The 24967-nt window shown below is 41.1% G+C and overlaps 1 long non-coding RNA gene across 1 annotated transcript in view; it reads right to left on the minus strand.

Annotated features, from left to right (window-relative positions):
• Window positions 1-1949: 1949 nt before the first annotated feature.
• The window catches only part of LOC440084 (uncharacterized), a 56469-nt gene continuing 33451 nt past the window's right edge, over window positions 1950-24967 (minus strand). Inside the window, exons 3-5 of the long non-coding RNA NR_148969.1 lie at window positions 6732-6898; window positions 3222-3302; window positions 1950-2204 (exon numbers count right to left, since the gene is read on the minus strand). This is a non-coding gene — a long non-coding RNA (uncharacterized LOC440084). The remainder of the gene's footprint in view (window positions 2205-3221; window positions 3303-6731; window positions 6899-24967) is intronic.

Consider the following 24967-nt stretch of genomic DNA (forward strand, 5'->3'; position numbering starts at 1 on the left):
TTATTACTCAATATATTAATAATTATGTTAAATGTAAGTGATGTAAACTAAATGCTTGAAAATTAAGAGGTTTTGGGATTACAGAAACAGACTAGCCTGTACCATTATCAAAATTTACTCAATAATTTATATTGGTATATAAACTATACAAATTTTATATTAAATATTATTAATATTTTATACAAATACTGTGTAAAACATTTGCATATCATAAAAACCCATGCAAAGCTCTCAGCTCTGTCCCTGCCTGGCACAGAGTAGCCTTCAATGAGAGCTACTATTGTGAGGACAGCCACTGGGTGGGACTCCTTGTCACTTGCTTGCTCCAGGTGTCAACTTCCCACACCAGTGCCTCAGAGTTTTGCCCCTCCTTATACCTGCACTATTCCTAAGTGGCCTCATCTAAGCCCATGGTTTCAACTATCACTTATACCAGGGTCAGCTACTTGCATGGCACAAGTGCCACAACTCTCCTGGTTAGGCACCCAAATCATTATTCCCTGGGCAGCTGCTTTTAATTGATCTGTTAGAACTTGAAATAAAACATCTTTTTATCCTGAGTAGATACCAATGAGTGCCTATGATGAGTCCACTAGCCTTCTTCCCTGGGTACATGTGTAAGTTGTCCTAAGGGTCCATTACAAAACTCCATGCTGAAATCTTCTGAAAATTAAAAATAAAATGGGAAGAGGAAAAGAAAAACTAGTGACTAGTGGGAGAGAGATCGTATTTTAGTTTTAAAAGAGATCGGGGAGGGCTTGGAACTACTTTCTATTTAGAAGCCTGAGACAAGGGGCTTGATGGAACCAAGATAAAGAATCCCAAAATCTGATGTGCTCTGGTGCGAGTTCATCATAAGAGTGAAGGACTTATTGCATATTATATAAAAACCACCAGTGAACATAGAATATTTCTACCTGAGACAAGCTAATAAATTAATAACTCTGAAAGTTAATGATTGCAAACATCGGTGTATTTATTTGAGGATATATATTAAAGAACAAAAAAAAACTTTCAAATCGAATTGGTATAACTGCCTCATTTTCTAAGAGGAAGGTGGAGTTCATAAGTGACCACAATGAGAGACTACAATTAGAAAGCATTCCTCCCCACTCCCGAGTCCACATCCTACTCTAAAAATTCATCACTCCCAATTTATAAATGCAGGCAAATTCAAACAAAATTTCTGCCATTTTAGTTTTTCATTTACATGTTCGCATATACGTACTGCAAAGTATGAATATGTGCGATACCAACTCATACCCTTTTGCAAAAATCTAGTGTATAAACCTAAAAAAAAAAAAGCTGTGTCTACCCACTACTTGAACCAAACCAGTTCTAGAGGATTAAGATGTCTACCTTGTGTGTGCTATGAAGAATAATGGCCTCTCAAAGACACACAACTAATTCCCAGAACCACTGAATATGTTGAATTATATGGGAAGAGGAATTACATTTGCCAATCAACTGACTTTAACATAGAGAAATTATCCTGGATTATCCAGATGGACCCAATGTAATTAATTAAAAGGTCCTTAAATGTGGAAGATGGAGGCAGACGAGTCAGTACCAGACAATGTGATGTGACGGGAGGCTCATCTGGCCATTGCTGGAAAGAGGTCAAGGAATATGAATGAAAAAATGGAATTCTTCTCTAAAGCTTCTAGAATGCAGCTCAGCATTGATACAAGGATCTAATCCTGTGAGACTCATTTCAGACATGTGAACCACAAAACTAAGTTAATAAATTCGTGCTCATTTAAGCCACTAAGTTTGTGGTAATCTATTATCACAGCAATAGAAAAACTAACTTACTTCCCACAAACTCATTTCATGTTTTCCTGTGGCCCCTGTAAAGTATTGATGCCTGTTTATAAAGTATCAGAGAGAAATAAATTTATCATAGGTCTTAATACAATTAAGCAATTCTTCTCTCATAAAATAAGAACCACTCTCAAAATTCAATTATTTATTGAGCCCGTACTCGATGAGACACAGCTAAGAAGTGCCCCTTCCCCATCCCTGAACAATTCCCCCTACCCAGCCAGGATCAATGCCTCAGCTGGGCACATCCTATGTTTTTCTAGTCTTCTACAATAGATCTCCTATAGTGTAGTGGTAGGCATGCTCAAAAGCATAGAATCTTCTTAGAAAGTAGTGGATAGCAGTGATCATCACAGCTAATGGAGAATTTGCTTCATTTTCTAAATTTGAAAACAAAAACAAACAAAAAACGGGAGTTATCAAGAGAAACAAGAGAACCAGGGCTCAAAAGATCAGCCCCATCTTTTCACCCTTTCCCTGGGCATGAAACTTAATTTCTTTAGGGTGTAATTTTTTATCCTCCCTCCCTTGTCTTCTCCCTAATGTGAGATATTTACACACTGTCCAGGCATCCATTTTACTCCATGTTCCCTTCAAAACTCTTTTGAAGGAAAGAGTCCTTGTTAATCTTATCCCTATTTAGTTACTGAAAATCCAAATAACTGGGCTCTCTTTCCTCCAGGGAGGAAAGAGATTGTCTTTAACCTCCATGTTACATTTTGTAGTTGATCTCAGCATCTGGGAAGTTTTAAGTTTGGAATTTTTACCAGTGAATTTAAACTAGCATTGAAAATGGTATCAAATCATCAGTAAAGTATTAAAGGTAAAAGAGGAGAATCTTACAAAACTTCACTGAGGTGAACTCCAAGAGTCTTCTCTGAAGGTGCTGGGCTGGTCTTCAATTAAGTAAAGAAATGTTTCTTATTCATGGTCAGTAAGACTCATTCACCACATGTCTACCATTCTGTTATGAGCCTCCAATAGTGTTAGTAAATGTAGGATTCCACTGAGTCTGTGGCACCAAAACCCTCTTTCTCCTAATCTTCAAGGTACTCCACCAGGACTCAAATCCTACTATGGAAATGGAATGCAAATGCATTCCATGAGAAGGACTGGGTTAAAGGCATGGCCTTCACTCACACTTAGAAGTTCCTAAGTGTAGCAGGTGAACTAGACCTATCCTCATGTGCTAGCAAACATGACGCCCAGGTGAGAAAGGCATATAATGGGGGCAGAGTACCAGAGTCCACTTCTTGAGTCTGTCCTCGAATCCTTCTCAAGAAAAATCTATGGTAGGAATCCAGTCTGCTGGAGGAAAGCAGGCCTTCCCTCAGGAATGCAAAAGATGGGAGCCCATCCCCTGCCCAGGCCTCCTGCGAAGCCAGACCCTCACTCACGGAAAGCCTGGGTGTTCTCCAGGTACACATCTGTGGGTGACTCCAGGTCCATGGTGGATTCTGGTAGGTCAGTGGTTGATTCTACAGGAGCCAAAAAGAAAAGAACAGCGCAAGTACTTTCCAGTGAGAATTTTCACTCTTAGGTAGATCTTTTTCTGGGGAAACATGGAACATAATGTGGCAGACCACATCAAACGTGGTCTCACCACAAGCCTCTCTTCTGCCACCCGCTGGAAAGTCCAGTGGACTAACTGCTGCCTGGGAGGGTGCTCAAAGCCCCCCACCCACCCTCTTTTCAAGGGTTCGGTTTAGGAAGGAGCATTCAATATTGTGCCTCTAAATGTGTATTGGTCAGACTGGAAGAAAAAGTCCAAGACTCCCCTTTATACTTCTTCCAGGTTCCTGAAAGCAAAAAACAAAAACCAAAAGGGGTTAAGGATCAAGGAAGCCAGCTATTTCTAAGGAGTGGAGCAAGAATGAAATAGACGCTAAATGGGCCACTCCTATAATTTTTTCATTTAATGGACAGTGTCTAGGTCTTTATTTTCCACCCTGTCTCTCAGAATGCACAAGCCAGGCGTTCTGGGGCTTGCTAACCATATCAGCATCATAAACTTGTGGGTCTGTTGAGCAACAACCAGGCTCCCTTTAGGCTACAGTGATGGATCACACGCAGGGGCATTGCAGCGGGTCATGGGCCCAGGAGGCCAGAATCACCTGCTCTATAATGTAGACAGTTTGCTTTATCATAGTTTATATCAGCAAACAAGCTGATATATCAGCAAACAAGCTACACCCAGCATCTCCCACACTGAGAGCTACCAGGAGGAGAGCCAGAGGAAGAGGAGGGGAAAGTAATCTTTTCAATACAAATGAATGAGCACCTCTCCTCCTGAGAAATCGACCTGCATTCAGGAAGAGCCAGGAAAGAATGCTTTTAGCTGAAAGTTTCATGAAGACAGCTGTTTCTTTCTTTTCTCAACATGATTTACAAGTTTCCATTTCAGACCCACTCATTTCCATTGCCTGTGACCAAGCGAGATAATAAAGTGCTCTGAAATTTTCTGCACTTCACCATCAAATGAGGATACCTCCTGGGACTTTTTAACCTGAGAGAAATAGAATAATGCCTTTTCAGCACCCAATAGGGAGTGAGACCACAGATAAACCTCAGAAGTTCTCTAATCAGGTGCCCTAATGGCAGCAGGCCCAGCCCATTAAGTTTATGAGGTCAGTTCAAACACAACACAAATCTTATCTTAGCCACTCAATTACTCAAACCCTCCGAGCTCAGCCACCCATCCCATCTTAAGACCAAATCCATATGATTCTTACCCAATTCAGCTTTACAACTTTCACAGCAGGCCTCTCTCTCTCTCTCTACCCAATCCCCTTCTCTCTTTCTGTATACACATGCACACAAATAATTTTAGCCCCATTCTCCAAAAGACCTCCCATGGCCCACTTACCTGGGGGGAGTGTGGGAAATGTCACAGCCAGGACCCACAAGGCTGAGAAGATCAGGGCCTTCCTGAGCATGGTGTAAGCAGGGAGGGTAGAAGGCTGGGAAGGTGAGCAGGCAGGTAGGCAGAGCAGGCAGGTGGGCAGGCCCTGGAGCTGTGGTGTGTACGGGTAAGAGCTAGAGAGCTCTGCTGGCCTTTTATAGAACCCTCAGCCCCTTGTCCCTGAAGGAGGCATTCCCAGGTGGTTATTAAAAAAAACAATTCTTGCTCACACAATGAGAATGTCCAAGGAACAAGGGCAAGAAAAGGGAACTGGGGGAAGGGAGAAGCAGGAAGGATGTTAGGAGGAAAACTCTGGTAAGGTCCCTTTCTAAATTAGGTTGCATTGCTCCATTACCATGAGCCCTGTTTATCTGCTTCTCTGAGGGGCAGAGGAGAAATTCTGTCTCCACCAGATATCTGAGATGACCCCTACCTCCTGGCCCAAGCTTGCAAGATTGTCATCTAGGCTGGAACCAGAAATTGTTTAACTGAGCCTCCAAAACCCTACTTTGTGTCAGAGGACAAGACTAAGTATCCCAGTGAGAGCCTGCTGGCTACTTTGACTGTAAGGGAACACTCTAATGCAAACCATATCCTAACCCTGGGGGATCCCTGAAAGAGAATTGTAGCTGATCGTGATAACTACTACAACGTTACTACTCCTAGCAATCACATGTTATGTGATTCCACGCATGCTACCATCTTACTTGATTCTCACCACGATCCCATGCAGTAGGCATCATTATCCCTATTTTTCTGGTGACGAACCTTGAGGCTGAGAGATTAAGTGACTCCAGATTTCCCTAAAGATAGTCACTCTCTGGGGTGTCATTAACATTAAGTGCTTTCTGGCTCTGTGGACCTGGCTTCTGCTCCAGACTTTCTCAGTCCTCCTGGGGCCAGTATCAAGCTGAGATATGTCCCTGGCTGTAGCACTTTAGGCAGGAGAAAACAGGCAAGGGCAAGGGACCAGCTCGCCTGGTCAGCCTCAGCTCTCAATTAAGTCTTTAACAAATGTGCATGAATCCCATCACAGGGTCAAACTCCCTTTAAATCTTAGTTTTCTTAGAAGGTTGCAGCAAATTCCTTCTCCTCAGTAACCACAAGATTGACAATATCATATTGAGAGAAACCTCTCAGTAATAATAATAATACCCAACATTTATTGATACCAAATACCTAATACCAAACCTATGGTAATCTTATTATTCCCCTTTTCTAGATCAGGAAACCATGTCCCAGAGAGAGAGGGTCGTTAATTTATGAGAAGTCACTCAGTAAATGTCATACAATAAGGAAATAAACCTACTGGCAGTCTGAAACTAGACTATGCCTTCTTCTTTTATTTGTTTGTTTGTTTGTTTGTTTCTTTGCTTTTAGAGACAGAATCTCACTCTGTTGCCCAGGCTGCATACAGTGGCAGAATCATAGCTCACTGCAGCCTTACACTCCTGGCCTCAAGTGATCCTCCCACTTCAGCCTCCTGAGGAGCTGGGACTACAAGTGCATGCCATTGCACCTGGCTAGTTATTTTATGTTTTGTAGAGACAAGGGTCTTGCTATGTTGCCCAGGCTGGTCTCGAACTCCTGAGCTCAGGTGATCCTCCTGCCTTGGCCTCTCAAAAGGCTAGGATTACAGGAGGGAGCCACTGAACCCAGATCCCTAGAGCCTAAGCTCTCAATCACTCTATTTGTCCTTCCAACCTAGTTATCTCTCTGTTCTCCTCACTGCTGTCTTTGACCTGTGAAACGTGGCACTGCACAGGGCTTTGCCCTAAAGGAAGGGGAAAATGGACACACACTAGAGAACATTTTGTTTTTCTGTAAACTCAGTTTCCTTGGCAAGCCCTGTACAATTAAGTGTAACCCAAACACAATAGTCAGGAGCTTGGGAAGCAAGAAGCTGATAAAAAAAAATCTGCAGACAATAACACAGCAAACATAGGACTCAAATGAGATAATAATGCACTAAGTTATAGGCCAGTGGAAAAAGGGAGAATTTTACCTGCACTGGCAGCAATATAAGAATATTTTCCACCGTGGAAAAGTGCAAGAACTGACTGGCAAATGGGCGAAGTGGAGTCTCTGAGGTCCTAGAGGAGAGCTGGACTGAGGCGTTAAGGGGCAGGAGTGACCTACCTCCTCTAGAAGATTTGACTTCTTCCTGACCACCTAAAAATAGAAACACCGCTTTAGATGTCCATCCGAATGTCATAGGACCATCTCATTGCCTCAATTTCAACCAGAGTCAGGGAAAGAATGGCTGCCTGGTGACCCCTATGTTGAAACATGGGAGCAATTTGCTCTCCCCTCATGGAGATGTGCTTCTCTTTCTCACCGGCTGAGCACCAGTAGGTAATGGACACAGTGGGTCCCAGAGGGGAACCTGGCCTTGCTGAGGTGAGAGCTAATGAAACTGTAAGGTTACAGTTGCAGGGTTTTTATTTAAAGAAGTTGTAGTTATTAAATATATAATATATATAAATAATTTTTGTGGGGAGACAGGGTTTACTCTGTCGCCCAGGCTGGGGTGCAGTGGTGTGAACTCAGCTCACTGCAAACTCCACCGCCCAGGCTCAAGCAATCCCCCAACCTCAGCCTCCCTAGTAGCTGAGACTACAGGCTCACACCACCATGCCTGCCTAATTTTTCTATTTTTGTTGAGACAGAGTTTTGCCATGTTGCCCAGGCTGGTCTTGAACTCCCTGGGCTCAAGCAATCCACCCACCTTAGCCTCCCAAAGTGCTGGGATTACAGGTGTGAGCCACTGTATCTGGCCTGCAGTTATTATGTTAGTTCTCTGTTATTATATTAGTATACTGTTTTTACTTCCTTGGCTTTTTACACATGTTGTAGGACTTTCTCCTTAGTTCAGCTAAGCCTGGTCTTGCCACATGGCCATGAAATATTAGACTCACAGACACTTTGAAGGGTGAGAAAAATGGAATTTATTGGGCAAAAAGGGAAAAAAGGGGAACGGGGACTCTCAGCAAGAGTCCTGCTAGCCAGTTTTCCCGCCTCACAGGTTGAATCCCAGGTTACCACACCCCGAAACAGGAGAGGCCAGGCTCCAACCCCCTGCAAAACAGCACCAACTTCCCAAGGCTCCACCCCTGTGCACACTCCTCCCAGTGCAAAGGCGGGCTGGAGTTTCTCCGGGGAATTCTCTACACTTGGCTGTCTCACATTTGCTACCAAGTATAATAGAATCATTTAACCTCATGATGTGAAGGTATCTTAAATTGTGTCCAGCTCAACAGACATGCAAGATCTTTTTGTTGAATAGAAGAATGTTTTTCCCTCCTATACAGCATACCTGTCAAGTGGGCTGTCAGCCCGGTGTTGGAGAACTTGGTACATTGAGAGGAATAGTTCATCTTTGGACAACTATTCTTTCTAATAGTTGAAATATGCCTTCTTATAATTTCAAACTGTTTACCCCAATTTTATTCTTGAGGGGCCATATATATAAAATTAAGTCCTTCTTCACTCTTCAAATGTCAAAGGCAGCTATCATTTTATTTTCAAATTTCTTCACCGTCTTAAAAAAAAAGGTACAAGTTTGCTCCTTTCTTTTTCTCTGAAGTTTCCTCAGTATCTAGCAGGGTCTGGCACATAGGAAGTGATAAACATGTTTATTGATAAATTAATAACTAGACTTCTGGTTACTAGTCTGTGATCTCATATGGTCTTCTATAAAGGAAGCACTAGAATTAAAACAAGTTATTGGCCAGGTGCAGTGGTTCATACCTGTAATCCTAGGCAAAAGTGGGTGGATCCCTTGAGGCCAAAAGTTCGAGACCAACATGCACAATAAAGCAAGATCCCATCTCTACAAAAAAATTTAAAAATTAGCCAGATGCAGTGACACATGCCTGCAGTCCCAGCTACTGGGGAGGGTGAGGTGGGAGGATCCCTCAAGCTCAGGAGTTTGAGGGCACAGTGAGCTATGATCAGACACTCCAGCCTGGGCAACAGAGCAAGACCCTATCTCAAAAGAACAAAACACCTAGATAGGATGGCTTATGCCTGTAATCACAGCACTTTGGGAGGCTGAAGTAGGAGAATTGCTTGAGCATAGGAGTTCAAGACCAGCCTGGACAATGTAGGGAGACCCCATCTCTACAAAAAATAAATACCATTCAACCCAGAAATTCCATTGCTGGGTATATACCCAAAGGAGTATCAATTGTTCTATTGTAAAGACAATGCATGCATATGTTCATTGCAGCACTATTCACAATAGCAAAGACATAGAAGCAACCTAAATGCCCATCAACGGCAGACTAGATAAAGAAAATGTGGTACATATATACCATGGAATACTATGCAGCCTTAAAAAAGAATGAGATTATGTCCTTTGCAGGAACATGAATGGAGGTAGAGGTCATTATCCTTAGCAAACTAACACGGGAACAGAAAACCATAAGACTCACATTTTCACTTATAAGTGGGAGCTAAGTAATGAGAACATGTGGACACATTGAGGGGAATAACAGATACTGTGGCCTACTTGAGTGGAAGGATGGGAGGAGGGAGGGGTTCAGGAAAAAAAAACTAAAACTGTCAGGTACTATGCTTAGTGCCCAGGTGACGAAATAATCTGTACACCAAACCCCCGAGTCACGAGTTTACCTATAAAACAAACCTGTATATACCCAGAACCTAAAATAAAAGCTAAAATACTTTTAAAAATAAAATTAGCCAGACGTGGTTGCACACACCTATGGTCCAAGCTACTCCAGAAGCTAAAGCAGGAGGATCACTTGAGCCCAGGAGGTGAAGACTGCAGTGAGCTGAGATTGCACCACTGCACTCTAGCCTAGGTGACAGAGCAAGACTCTGTTTCAAAAAAAAAAAAAAGAGCAAAAGAAAAACAGACCATAAAAACCCCCAAATTATCACAAGTTTGAGCCAGTGACAGCAGAAAAATAATAAACTTACCACCATCCTTCTTTCTGGAAAATATGTGGTATTAGTTAGGTTATATTAAATTGATCTGTAATGAATACTATGGGTAGGCCTCACAGAAAGTATGGAAGGTTTTTTTCACAGCACCAAAGAAACTCAAAAGCTTTTGCATCTACCTCCTCCAGAGTGAGATCAGATTCTGGAAAGTGGGTTGAGCTGGGGCATATCCTGCCACTGTGTCACCCACCCCCATAAGAACCAAGCTGCACAGCACCTGCCAGCGTGCCTCCAGGCATGTGATCCAGAGCAAGGTGCTTCTTTCAGTCCAAACCCCAACTATCATCCTGCCTTAGGGAATAGTTTCCAGATACCAACACTCACATTTCTCCTCCGTGGAATAGGGAGCCTAGAATGAGGCAAAAGTCCTGTGACCTGGGCCACCCACCTCTACTGCAGATTGGATATGGATAAAGGTTAGCCCTGTGTCCTAGTATCAGATCAAGCATGTTTCAAGTATCTGTTCAGTGACCCAGCTATTACACTCAGTACCTTGAGAAATTCAAAGGAAGGCCAAAAATTGATGCCTTTTTTTTTTTTAAGGTGGATTCTCGCTCTTTCACCCAGGCTGGAGTGCAGTGGCACAATCTCAGCTCACTGCAACCTCCCCCTCCCAGGTTCAAGCAATTCTCCTGCCTCAGCCTCCTGAGTAGCTGGGACTACAGGTGCCCGCCACCACGCCTGACTAATTTTTTGTATTTTTAGTAGAGACAGGGTTTCACTGTGTTATCCAGGATGGTCTCGATCTCCAGACCTCATGATCCGCCTGCCTCAGCCTCCCAAAGTGCTGGGATTACAGGCATGAGCCACCGCAGTTAGAATCAGAGTAAGTCAGAAAATATATAATACAAAGACAGGTCAAAACAAGATACTGAGAAATCTAATCATGTGCCAGTGGTACAAAAAAAGCCTTTTTTTTAAACAAATGTTTGCGAAGTCACTGTGAAATGCAATGACTGAGGCAGAAGAGGCACTGGGCAGGGAGGTTAACCTCATAGATCTGGGATCCAACAGCCTGGCTGTAAATCCTGCCTCTGCCAGTAATACTTAGGTGACCTTTGGCAAGTTACTGAAGTCATGGTACTTCAGTTTTCTCATCCATACAATGGAGATAAAAATAGGTTTCACTTTATTGGGGTTGTTGTGAGGTTAATTTACTCATGCAAAATGCCTACAATAAGGGAAAGTCACAGTAAACATTAGCTGTTTTTATTACGGGCTGAAGATGAAAAAGTCTCAGGTCCCTAGTAACTTGATGATACTGTTTTCTGGTGGGAACATGAAGAAGCATGATCCTGGAAAGTTCCATGGGAAAAATGCAACAAATGAAAATACGAGTAGGATTCACTTGAGTTCAGTAAACATGTTTCTAGGTATAGACAGAAAGGTCCCTGGGCAAGAATAATGCGTTGGAGGAGACAAAAATGTGCATGAATAGCAGTGTTCAAGGTGTCATGTGAACTGTAATAAATTTGGTTGCCTTATTTCTACAAAGTCTATTATAGAGCCCTGGTGCCAAATAAATGATTATTCATCTGTACTGAATTCTAGGTGAGAAGACACTGTCAAATGCAACCTTTCAGCAGTGGCTAAAAGCTTGGGTTCTAGACTCAGATTGTCTGGCCATGAACCCAGGTCCTTGGGAGACCTTGAACTTGCCCAAATCACTCTGTCCAGTTTTCCTGATTTGCAAAACGCAGGTGATGATACTAATCCCTTCATAGGGTCATTGTGAGAATTAAATGAACTGATCCATGTAAATTGGTAAATGACATATAATAAATGATCAATGATTGGCACCTTCATTATTATAACTTGAGATGGACCTTAAAGAATAAAGTAAAACTATCCGAGTAATTACCCTCATTAAAGAAAAGTATGTGACTGGAGACTACAATGAGAGGGTGACAAAAAGAGGGCAGTGGAAGAGGAGGTTGTGGCCGTCTGAAATGACACTGGGGAGCATACCAAGGAGATCTTCAAAAGCTGAAGAGTTGAGTCATTATTCTGCTGGCAAAACAGAGTCATTGAGAATGTGAAGTCAATGGTTGGCATGGTAAAAGCCATGCTTTAGGAAGACTAGCCAAACCTGCACAAACAGAGAGCAGGTCAGTAATGGCACTGCACAGGCAAGAGCCACCATGGGTTCAGCAGCATGGTAGCCCTAGGCCTGAAAAGTATACAGATATTAAAGACATTATGAAGGTGAAATTAAAGGGACTTGGTGACTGATTAGATGTGGGGCAAAGTGCCCTCACCATGACATATGCTCAAAAAAGTTGGCTTTCTAGGATTTTAGCTCTTTTAGGAAATGAATTCTCAGAGTTTAAACCACTATCCTAAAAATAAAAAGAAAAGAGGAAGGAGGGGAGGACAAAAAGAATTATAACTCTTCAGATTTGGCCGAAAGCCTTGCCTGGTAGTCAATGAACAAGGAAGAAAACACACTGTGGTACACCATGAAGAGATTTCAGTGGATTTAATTGAAGTTTTAGGACCAATGTGTTCTCTTGGACTTAGCACACATCCTCATGGGCAATTCTGAGACTGATTCCCGTCTTTGTCTCTTAGATATTTTAAGCTCTAGGTTAGACTCTTTTAAACCATGGTGGAGGGACAGCAGGGGGAGCAGGATTTTGATCAGCTGATAGATAAGAAATGCAAAAATTATAACAATGAGATATCACCTCACACCTATTGGGATGGCCACTATCAAAACAACAGAAAATAACAAGTGTTAGCAAGGATGTGGAGAAATTAGAGTCCCTGTACACAGCTTTGGGAATGTAAACTGGAGCAGCCTTTATGGAAAACAATATAGAGGTTTCTTGAAAAATTAAACATAGAGTTACCAAATAATCCATCAATCCCTCTTCTGGACAAATATTCAAAATCAGGATTGTTTTTTTGAAACAGGGTCTCACTCTGTCATCCAGGCTGGAGTGCAGTGGTGCGATCTAGGCTCACTGCAGCCTCTGCCTCCCTGGTTCAAGCGATTCTCACACCTCAGCCTCCTGAGTAGTTGGGATTACAAGTGTTTGCCGCAATGCCTGGCTAGTTTTTGTATTTTTAGTTGAGGTGGGGTTTCACTATGTTGGCCAGGCTGCTCTCAAACTCCTGGTCTCAAGTGATCCACCTGCCTTGGACTCCCAAAGTGCTGGGATTACAGGTATGAGCCACTGCACCAAGAAGAAATCAGGATGTTGAAAAGATCCTTACATATCTTTGTTTATTGCAGCATTATTCACAATAGCCAAGAGGTAGAGCAACTCGGATGTTCATCTATGGATGAATGAAGTTAAAAATGTGGTACACACATATGACGGAATATTATTCAGCCTTTAAAAAGGAATGAATCCTTTCCTATGCTATGAACAAGGTCATACAGATGAACAAACATGGTTACATGGATAAACTTTGAGAACATTATGCTAGATGGAAGAAGCCAGTCACAAAAAGACCAAGACTGCATGAGTCCACTTATGTGAGGTATCTAAAGTAGTCAAACTCACAAAAATGGAAAGTAGAAAGGTGGGTGTCAAGGGCTGGGGGAAGGAGACATTATTGTTCAATGGGTGTAGACTTTTAGTTTTGCAAGATGAAAAATTTCTAGAGATCTCTATTTGTTGCACAACAATGTGAATATACTTAACACAACTGAACTATACACTTAAAAGAAGTTAAGTGGTAAATTTAAGGGTATGGATTTTTTACTACAATAAAAACATTTTTAGCAGTTATAACAAGTAATAATGACTAAATGGCAATTACTATGTCCCAGGCACTATTGTAAATATTTTACAAATTCTGAGTACTTTACAAATATGTACTCATTTTAACCCTCACAATAATCCTAAACAGCATATAAAGTATTATAACAGCATCAATTTACTAATGAAGAAACTGAGGCGCAAGGAAATTAGGTCACTTGCCCAGTTACAGAGCAAGTAAGAGGTAGAGGCAGGAATAAATACAGGCAGCATGGCTTGGAGTAGAGCCCCATTTTTTTTCTCTATTCAGGCTTATCTCTACCCATCTTCTGGTGTTAAGAATAATGACTCTGCTAGTTTGGAATTAATCCCTTTCTTATGTCTCTGCCTCAAATATACTAAAAGTTTTAAGGGCAGGGGCCAAAGCCATACAACTTCATGACATTATGTTATCCAACCAGATGCCTTGGCCATAATCATTGAACCAAATTAACTCACATGTTTTAAAAACAGACATTGAAGCTTAACAGAATTGCATCAAAGTAAGATTTGAACCAGGAGTTTCATCCATTCTCCTAATGACCCATTTCTAAACAACTGCTTCTTCCTTATCACTGAATTGGGATAGGGACCATGGTGAGAGGTAGAAGATGGTGAATCAAAGAAACTTCAGTTTTTCTTATCGCATTTTGAGTCACATAAGGAAATGTCAGAAAAGAGTTTATGTATCTTTTGCTGACCTCTCCAAAAGGTTTAATAGAAATGCACTATGGAATTTTATCCACCACTATTTTCCTTACAAATGAGCCTCTTCTTTAACCACTCCAACACTCACCTTGGTGAAGCTGAATGCAGGTTTAAGGATGGAAAAAGGAAGCTAGGGAAGAGCTCATTATTAGATCTGATAACCCCCCAGGACAATCCTACACAAAAACATCACAAAATCTTTTGTATACAAAATCTATTTTCTCTCTCGATCACTAGAATTTCCTCCAAGCAGTATTGTCTTCTACCCTCTCTTAAAACTAGTGTAGTAAGAGACTCTTTCTTAAGAACGTATCATTGGTTTCTTAGGAAGAGTCTGAAATGGTGGCTCTTCTGAGTAGTGTTACAGTCCCCCTAAGTGGCTTGTCCCCTACTCATTCCAAGAAAATCACTGCCATTACCATCACCGAAACAATTCTGTTAAACCAATATTTAATTGAGCGAATATTAAGTGAGACAAAACGTACTGAGGATACAGAGTTGAATGGACCCTGCCTCCAAGAATCACACAATCTATTTGGGGGGAGTGGAAAGGTTAGACAACATAATCTGTGAGGAAATCAAATGTTAGCATCAGCTCTAACATTTGAGCAGACTTGCTGGTTACCCCCAGGGGTTGCCAGACACTAGCAACACGAAGACAAGTTAGTTACTGCCTCTAACGCCAAATGTATTGCTGGCTTACAGAAGTTCAGGGGAACTTTCATAAAGAATGTGGTATTTCAATTGGCCCTTAAAAATGGGTAAGATTTCATCAGGGTAAAACAGGCAGGGTTATCAGGAAGAAGGAACAGTCATGTAAATACACATAGAGGTAGACATAGGAGAGTGGAGAACACATCCAGGAATGGCAATTAGTCTAATATGTCTTAAGAGGATATTGCAGAGATGATGGAAAGTTGAGGCCATATTATGAAAAGCCGACTTGGAAATAGAAGGCCGAAGAGAATTGCCTCATTGATACATAATAGCCTATTGGTGAAGATTTTTTAGCAGATTGAGCCAAATCAAATTATATTGTAGGAAGACAGATAGTGAACAAGAATTTAAAGCAGAGAAGAGGGGCATCACAATAGCACAGGCAAGGCACTGAGTAGCAAGATTACAGTAATGAAAGCAAGCACTATGATCAGCAATTTATATTTAATGTATGATACGGAGAGTCAGGGTCCAGGGAAAAGAAAAGATAACTCCACCTTGTGAAGCCTGAATTATTCCAGTGATGTATTGCAGTGAAGCAAAGCAGGAGTCAGTTTCTGAGTGGTATTGTGAGGAACAGGATGTTGGTGAGGAGATTTGCAGAAGGGGTAGGCAAGATGAGTTTGGCTACTGGCAATTAAGTTACCTTAAGAGAACCTTGTTGGAAATACCCCACAGGTGGCAAAAAAAAAAGAAGATGAAACTGAGATCCAGGGAATTTTGATTAACAATCATGGTTTTGCTTTATGCATAGAGATGTATGAGCCATTTGCTTAAAACTGCTGTCACCAAAATGGTGCACGTGATTCCAAGGGAAATGTAGAAAGACAGGAGGTGCAGGCCTTACCTGAACCAGACAAAATTCCAGTCTAGTGAAATTCTTATGGGTATAGAGGAAAAGTCAGCAAAGGAAACAAGTTAGAGAAAGAAGAAAGTCAAGCCAGGCTCCTTGGCACCCGCCTATAATCCCAGCTACTTGGGAGGCCACGACAGGAGGATAACTAGAGCCCAGGAGTTCAAGTCCAGCCTGAGCAACATAGTGAGACCCCATCTCTAAACACATATATATTTAATATATGTTTCATTACCTATTTAGACTTCTGTTTTCTCTCACTAAAGTAAGCAATTTTTAGGAAGGAACCAAGAGTCGTTCTTGTTAGCATCCCAGGTTTTTGGTTGTCCCATTCCCTCTTCTCTCTCAGAGTAACAGAATCCCTAATGTTTAGCTGGGCATATGGTTCCCCAATATGAAGATGCATTTCCCAGCCTCCAGGCAATATGAGCAGAACTAATATGTGTAACCTCTAAGTTTTGTCCCTAGAGGGAAGAGGCATACCCTTCACTTCCACTTTCCTCCTTTTCTGCCTTATGAGATGTGGGTGTGGTAGTGTGTCACCTTGAACCATTTGCATAAGGGCAACACCATAGGGATGGCAGAGAATATATAACGAAAGGATTCACAGAACAAAGCCATCATAACAAATAAGAGAAATAAACCTCTATCCTGTCCAAGACACTGTTAGTATAGTGTTAGTATAGTGTTAGTGAGCTACACTGTTAGTATATCCTGAGTAGCGCAAACTAATCTGCATAGATTAATCCCAGAACCTAGCATAGCTTCCATTAGTTGCTTCATAAAGAAGGAAGGAGAGGAGGGAAACGATGTCTAAAGCCTCTATCAGTAAGGAGACATTTTAGATTATGGCAAGGCTATAGGAATCCAAGAAAGAGATTTTTCTTTAGTTGAATCAACCCACAGGTTTGACCTCTTGCATTTCTTTGCACCAAGTCAAGCTTGCTATGATGAAAATCTCCAGTCTGATCTTTCTTCACTTTGCCATTAATTGAATGAAAGGCTTTGTTATTATAAGTCCAGTCTTAAATGAGGCAAGAACTTCCCTCTTTGATTTGTGGCCTTTTGTTCTGAGATGCAGGAGATTTATGAATGTTTCACGGGGCTTTCAAATCCAAATTTATTCTTATGCCATTTCTGAGAGATAGACAGAATGCATATCAATATCATTCTATAAATAATCTCCCAAGACATTGCCACCTCCATAAGTAGGTAGTTAAATATTGAATGTTAAATAAAATGGAAACCCAAAGTAGTAAGTGACTTGCCCAAGGTTAGCACATCAAGAGATAGAACGAAGGCCTTCAGAATTCTTTCTACATCTCAACAGGCAAAAGATAAAATTCTAACAATTTAAAGATATTAATTGGCTTATTTGCAATTCTAGAATCAGACAACACTTTATTCCACAAAATAGAATAAGTGTTCTAATAAGCCAAGCAGAGGAGTGTGGTTTTATAGACAGAAAATGGCTAAATAAAGCAGAAAGAAAGAAAAAAAAGCGATTGGTGATTTCAAAGTTGTTTTCCTTTTAATGAAGGAACCAAGAAATAGAACAATAGAGAAATAACTGATTGTATAATATCAGGTTGCTTTTTCCTTTTTCTTTTTGGTAAGGATTAAAACAGAGAACACTTTATTACCCTGCCAGTTGAAACTGGCCTGTTTGGGAAATTAGACTGTAATCCCTCTCTCCTGATTTCTCAGGTCAGAAAGGAACTCAGTTTCCATTTGACTGGATGCCATGGAACTTCAATGTAAGGGACACCATTTTGATTTTTAGTCTGGACTGTAGGGGCCCAGTGCGGAAATTGACTCCAAAACAACACTCTCATAATTTTTAGCACAGCATAGCAGACTTCATGGACAATAACTTCTGGGGAGCCTCTATCATCACAGGATTTGCTGTCAATAAGGTTTCTCTGGAAATACTAGAAGGTATCTAATTCCTCATTTTTTCTGTTGGAAACCCAAAATGTCTCACTTTTCTCCCCCATCACTTATGAGGAAATACAAGCACATTTTCCTAATTTATTTTATACTGACAGTTGGAAAAGGAAAAAAGCAAAGAAAATTCCAATTTGTTTCCAAGTAATTAAAATCAATACAATCTCAACTTCTTCCAATCTTTGCTTCCATGAAAAGCAGCCCATAACAGCAAAGGCCTTGTTCACTTTCCTTTTCTGTTTTTACTAGGAAGTCCTACTGGAAGCATGTAAGCTTGCAAGTTCTCTTGCTTAAGGCACAAGTATTTGACATTTACATAAAAACATTTTTTAAGAACAACAGCAAGAATCCACCAAATGCCTAATCATGGGAGTTCCTGGCAGGCCTTGTGGGGGTTTTTTGTTTTGTTTTGTTTTGCCCCCCAGGGCTTTATGATTTTGATTAAGGTGCCTCAACAGGGGCCTTATATGAGCAGTTACTCAACATCAAGGACAAAGAAAACCTTCTATATGTCCTCCAACCCCCTAGGGCCACCAGAGACCTGCAGTGATCAAACCCCAGTGTACACAGGGGCTATATGAAATCACCAAATTGCTGGGCATTCTGTGGGCCCTTATAGTCCCAGCTACTTCGAAGACAAACAGGAGGATCACTCAAGACCAGATGTTCAAGGCTGTGGTGAGATTTGACCACAACTGTGACTAGCTGCATTCCAATCTGTCTCAAAAAAAAAAAAAAAGAAAAAGAAAAAAAAAACATTTTGGGAGGCCGAGGCGGGTGGATCACTTCAGATTGGGAGTTTGAGACCAGCCTGGCAAACATGGTGAAACCCCGTCTCTACTAAAAATACAAAAATTCGCCAGGCGTGGTGGCGCATGCCTGTAATCCCAGCCATTTGGGAGGCTGAAGCATGAAAATCGCTTGAACCTGGGAGACGGAGGTTGCAGTGAGCCAAGATGGCTTCAATTGCCCTCCAGTCTGGGTGACAGAGCGAGATGAAAGAAAGGAAGAAAGAGAGAAAGAAGGAAAGAAGAAAGAAAGAAAGAAAGAAAGAAAGAAAGAAAGAAAGAAAGAAAGAAAGAAAGAAAGAAAGAGACAGAGAGAGAGAGAGGAAGGAAGGAAGGAAGGAAGGAAGAAAGAAAAAGAAAGAAAGAAAGAAAGAAAGAAAGAAAGAAAGAAAGAAAGAAAGAAAGAGGAAAAGAAAAGAAAAGAAAGAAGAAAGAAAAGAAAGAGAAAGAAAAAGAAAGAGAGAAGGGAGGGAGGGAGGGAACCAAAAAATTATCAAATTATTTCCAACTCTTCTTCTTGGTCCTCAAAGTTCTGGCCCATTTCTCCTTCTTTCTATAAGAAATTCCCTGATATTTCTAGTAGCAATCTGGGTAGATTCTCTCCTGGGCTTCTCCCAGTTCTTCTGCTCCCATCCCCTCTCCATCATCCACAACTATATTTGATATTGACTGATTCATAGATTACTAACACCACTTCTACTATCAGTTCATTCGCATCACATGACAAACAGTGATTGCACACCTACTACATTTCAACCCTCTGGTCACTCCAGGTGTTTTGTTGTACGTTACTTCTGTGGTTAGCCTTTTACCTCCTGGCCTAGTTATAGAGTTGGGCCTAGGTATGATATTCAGTTTCTTCTTGGGAGAGTAGTAGGAGCCTTACCAGTGGTCTTCCTCATGTTCTCTGCTGCACGGGACCTCCCAAAGTCTGATAGGATGGAGGGCAAGAATGGGCACAAGGAACTATAATCCTTTTTCAATTCTGCTCCTTAGCACTCTTGCATCTGCTAGCTGGGATCTTACCCAGTGAGATCAATCTCTTTTTCTCTATCTCCATTTGTATTCTTATAGTGGGAGATCAATAAAATACTGACTGCATAAATAAATTAATAAATGAAAAGATAGAAGAAATGAATCTTTTCAAGTCAACTTTTTAGATATTCTCTGTTCTCCACATAGACACAGAGGGGGAACAACACACAGTGGGGCCTGTCAGGTGGAGGTGGGGAGAGGGAGGGAGAACATCAGGAAAAATAGCTAATGCATGCTGGGCTTAATACCTAGGTGATGGGTTGATAGATGAAGCAAACCACCATGGCACAAGTTTACCTATGCAACAAACCTGCACATCGTGCACATGTACCCCAGAACTTAAAATAAATTTTTTTTAAAAAGAGAGACAGATTAACACGAAAAAAAAAGATATTCTCTATTCTCAATTCAGTGGGCCACCTTATGACACCAATTCTGTGTGATCCAGCAATAGATGTTTCCAAAATGAGAACATTATGTGTTACACAAGCCCAAAGATGCAAGAAACCAGAAAAGGGAGCCCAGGAAATTCAGGAATATATTCTACTTTTCCATGCAAGAAGATAAATATAGATGATAAGGATGGGGATAAAGAGAAGCCTGGAATAGAACAGAATTCAAAATCACAACTCAAGCAGCATTTTAGATTGAACCAGAAGGAATTTAGCCCTACTACATTTTAAGTTTTTAATCAGACAGGAAAATTTAACGGGAAATGTAATGGCATGCTACACCTGGCAACGCTGGCCAGTAACCAAACATCCTGGAAGTATGTTTATGGAGGTTGCTGTGTCTTGAACAAAGCTGAGAGCATCTTGCCCTTTAATCAGCATAGGCACTAACCAGAGAAGGCTTCCTACATGCAATTTGCATAGAAATCAAATGGGAAAACTAGTCCCACCAGCTTCTTAACTGTGAAATACCAGGATAATTCCAATAATGTCTTGCATTTGTACAGAATTTGACAAGTTTTGTAATCGTTTCCAAGCATTATCGTATCTGAGCCTCCCAACATCCGTTGGGGTAGGAGTGATCTCAGTTTTATTGAATATCTTCAGGACTTTATGCTGATATGTTTTAGGGAAGAGATATTGGCTTCATTGTCTCAGTTGATGGCATTTTCACGCCCCAAAAACCAAAAACAAAAACCAAGAAAAACAGGGAGTCCAAAAGGAAAGTTTCTGGAGTCCTGATAAAGGCAGGCTTTCAGGACACCTGACCTTACTTTTCATTATTACCACCTGAAACCTACACACCCTAAAATGGTCATGGTGGGGTCCCTATCTGTAAAACTCCAGGATCATAGAGGTTATAAACTTAGAGATCAATAAACTTAAGGTCATTAGGATAGAACTAAATGTAGAGACCAGCCCAATGCCTTCATTTTAATGAGAAGAAAAATGAAGTTCAGAAAGGTTAGGTAAAATTGTCTGAGTTCCAACCCCAACATGACCTCTAGGCAAATTTCTTAAGCCCTCTTTGCCTCATTTTCTCCATATGTGATACGAGCATAATACCAACCTGAAGTGGCTGTCGTAAAGATTAGGAACGTCCCTGAAGTTAGTAAGTACTGAGTGTTTAGCAAGTACTCAATAAATGGCTGATATTACTAATATCATCATCATCATCATCTACCAAGGACACATAGAAGAGTTGGAACTGAAATCTGACTCTAAACCCATTATTCTTTCCACCACAGAACATTATCAATTTCTGTGGGAGGAGCTCTTCTGCCCTCTTTGAGGTGTCAAAGACATTAAAAGCAAATTCTTCCATCTCCACATCAAATGCATAGCAGGAACTGGATTTAGAGCAACCCTAAGGCATGTGATATCAAAATATCATCACCACAGCCCGAAATAAAGGCACAATCAATTCATCTGAAATCTTTCTTTATCAGTCAAAGAATTTTAGACAATGAGTTCACAGGGGAAAAAATTGTAATTACAGTAATAGGGTCAAGGAATGTATAATTCTCCCTCTTCATTTCAGTAGCTAATATACCAATGACCTTTATGTGAAAATGGGGGAGGAAGGAGTAGGAAAAAAAATCAGAAAATTGGATACCTGAGAGTTATTGCAGACAAACAGAAAAATAAACTCCCATGTAAAGTATAGAATTGGCTGATTCCATCTTAAAGCCAGATACCTCTGGAATAAGACATATAACAAAATATAGCTGTTTCACTTGAAGAGGGCCAAAACAGCTAGACTCATCACTAAAGAAAGTACATCAGAGGAGAAACCAGCCATGACATCCAAAAGTACTTTGCTACAATAACGTGTAGCTATAGAGTCATAGAATATTAGGCTATAAACACCTAAATAAGAAGCTCAGCCTAACTCTTCTGTGTCTCCCCAGAAGCTAGCCATAGATCTGTAACACAGCACATTTTCAAAGCTTGATTAAAAAAAAACAGGAGACCCCAGGTGGGGTAGAACACTCATGAGATAAGTAATAGTAAACCAAAAGGTATCTGAGACAAGTCTCAATCAGTTTAGAAGGTTTATTTTGCTAAGGTTAAGGATGCACCAGTGACATGGCCTCCGGAGGTCCAGATGACATGTGCCCAGTGTGACTGGGGTACAGCTTGCTTTTATACATTTTAGGGAGACATAATACATCAATCAATACATGTAAGATTTATTGGTTCCATCTGGAAGGGTGGGACAACTCGAAGGTCGGGGCTGCTTTTAGGTCATAGGTAGATTTAAAAATATTATGATTGGCAATTGGTTGAAAGAGTTATTGTCAGTGAGAAGAAATGTCTAGGTTACAAAAAGGGGTTATGGAGACCTAGGTTTTGTCATGCAGATGAAGCCTCCAAGTAGGAGGCTTTAGAGAGAATAGACTGTATGTATTTCTTATCAGACTTAAGGTCTGTGTTGATGTCAGTCAGGGGTATAATAAGGCATGTCCAAGCCCCACTTCCCTTCATGGTCTGAACCAGTCTTTCAGATTAAATTTACAGTGTCCTGGCCAAGGAAGAAGTCCATTCAGATGGGGATGAGGAGGCTTCAAATTTCATCTTTGTTTTACATAATGATATGATCATAAGTTCCCATGTGTCCACTGAGGCACTGGGATCCCACATGATTAGACAACCCAGAGAATGACATCAGATTCTGGACCTGCTGACCATATCCTCCTATAATACATCCCACTCACCCCCACTTGCCACGTGAGGTGCCTTGAGTTATATAGTGCTGCCACAGTGGCCCTTTCTCAGATCTAGGGACCAGAAGAAAGGGCAGAATAAAGAGCACATTTTCCAGCTGTTTCCTGATCAAGAAGAGCCCTGATCTGGAGCAGAGCCCAAGGGAACAATAATGACACTGTAATCTCACAAAAAGATGGTAGGGAGAGTCTGAAAAGAAAAACTATACTGAAAATAGAGAGAAACCCCCAGACCCCTAAAATGGTCATCAAAAGAGAAATTGCCAACCTTCTTCTGGTTCCATTCTCAACTTCTTGTCCATTGAATTTCCAAATAGGCTGCTAGATGTCATATTCCCAATTCTAATCAGAATTGCCTTTCCAATCGCAGTCCTCACTAGGTTGAACCTGAGATATTCTCCTGACTGCTTTTTCTCTTTGGCTTTTCCAGTGGATTCTTTTCTCAATTCTTCACCAAATAATTCCGTCAAACCACCAATGAATTTCTGACTGGAATCCTGTTCCAAAATTTCCCTGAACTATCTGCTGGTATCCCCCGGTCTGTGGACAATGCTGAAGACATTTAAAAAGGCATAAAGCAAATGTAAGCAAAACACTGAGCATTTAAGCAGTCAGATCAATGTCTGTTGTCTCTCCTATCTCTCTCATCCTGAAACAGGAGAGTAGATGGCACACCTACAATTTTCAGTCACCGCCAGTGATAGAAACACTCTATAACTGCTGTCCAATATCATAGCCACTAGTCACATGTGGTTATTGAGCATTTGAATTTTTAATTTTATTTAATTTTGAGGGTTTTTTCTGAGACTGGGTGATATGGTTTGGTTCTGTGTCCCCACCCAAATTTCACGTTGAATTGTAATCCCCATGTGTTGAAAGAGGGGCCTGGTGGGAGGTGATTGAATCATGGGGGTGAACTTCTCCCTTGCTGTTTTCATGATGAAGTTCTCACGAGATCTGGTTGATTAAAAGTACGCAGCACTTCCCCCTTTGCTCTCTCTCTCCTGTCACCATATGAAGATGTACTTGCTTCCCCTTCACCTTCTGCCATGACTGTAAGTTTCCTGAGCCGTCCTCCCCCAGCCTTGCCTCCTGTACATCCTTTAGGGGTTTAGTCAATTAAACCTCTTTTCTTTATAAGTTATCCAGTCTCGGGTAGTTCTTTACAGCAGTGTGAGAACGGACTAATGCACAGGGTCTCACTATGTTGCCCAGGCTTCTAAATTATGGAATAGATCCCTTTTTCCTGCTCCCTGTTGAGTCTAATTTCCCATGTCAGGAATGAGAGTTTCCTCAGAAAAAAGAAGAATATATAGAAATAACAGAGACATTTGGGACTTTGCTAGCACAAACACAACCTGAATCACTCTCCTAAAACCGTTCTTGTGGTCCTGCTTTATCCACAGACCAAATTGATTGCCACTATCCTAATTTATCCTTATTATTATTGATATTTAAAAAGAACACTGTAGGAATAATCTTTCTTAGTACTGGTATAGAACATTGTCATGGTATAGACATTTGTTCTGTTTCCAGGGGTTTTCACATTTCTTTCTCATTTAGAAGAATTATCATTCATTTAAAAAGTATATATTAAGGAGCTGGGTGCAGTGGTTCAATGCTTGTGAGCCCAGCATTTTGGGAGGCAAAAGGAGGATCACTTGAGGCTGGGAGTTTGAGACCAGTCCAGGCAACATAGTGAGATCCCATCTCTACAAAAAATTCAAAACTTAGCCAGGCTTAGTGATGTGTGCCTGTAGCCCCAGCTATTCAGGAGGCTGAGGTGGGAGGATGGCTTGAGCACAGGAGTTTGAGGCTACGGTGAGCCATGATTGGGCCACTGCACTCCAGTTTGGGTAACAGAGCAAGACTATGTCTTTTTATTAAAAAAAAAAAGAAAAGAAAAAAACAACAAACAGTTAAGGGCAGCAGACAGTCAAGTGAGGTATCCAAGTAAGCTAAAGAAGAATGTATTCACGAGCCCATTTTCTCTTTATCTCTCTTTGATTTAAGAGTCTTTGATTGTAGGTGTGTGGTCTTATTTCTGGGCTCTCTATTCTGTTCTAGTGGTTTATTTGTCTGTTTTTGTATCAGTACCGTGCTGTTTTGGTTACTGTAGCCCTGTAGCATAGTTTGAAGTTGGGTAGTGTGATGCCTCCAGCTTTGTTCTTTTTGCTTAGGATTGCCTTGGCTATTCAGGCCCTTCTTTGGTTCCACATGAATTGTAAAAGTTTTTTTCTAGTTCTGTGAAGAATGTCAATGGTAGTTTAAAAGGAAGAGCATCAAATCTATAAATTG

This window comes from Homo sapiens, chromosome 12 (genome assembly GCF_000001405.40).
Source record: "Homo sapiens chromosome 12, GRCh38.p14 Primary Assembly".
Taxonomy (NCBI): Eukaryota; Metazoa; Chordata; class Mammalia; order Primates; family Hominidae; genus Homo; species Homo sapiens.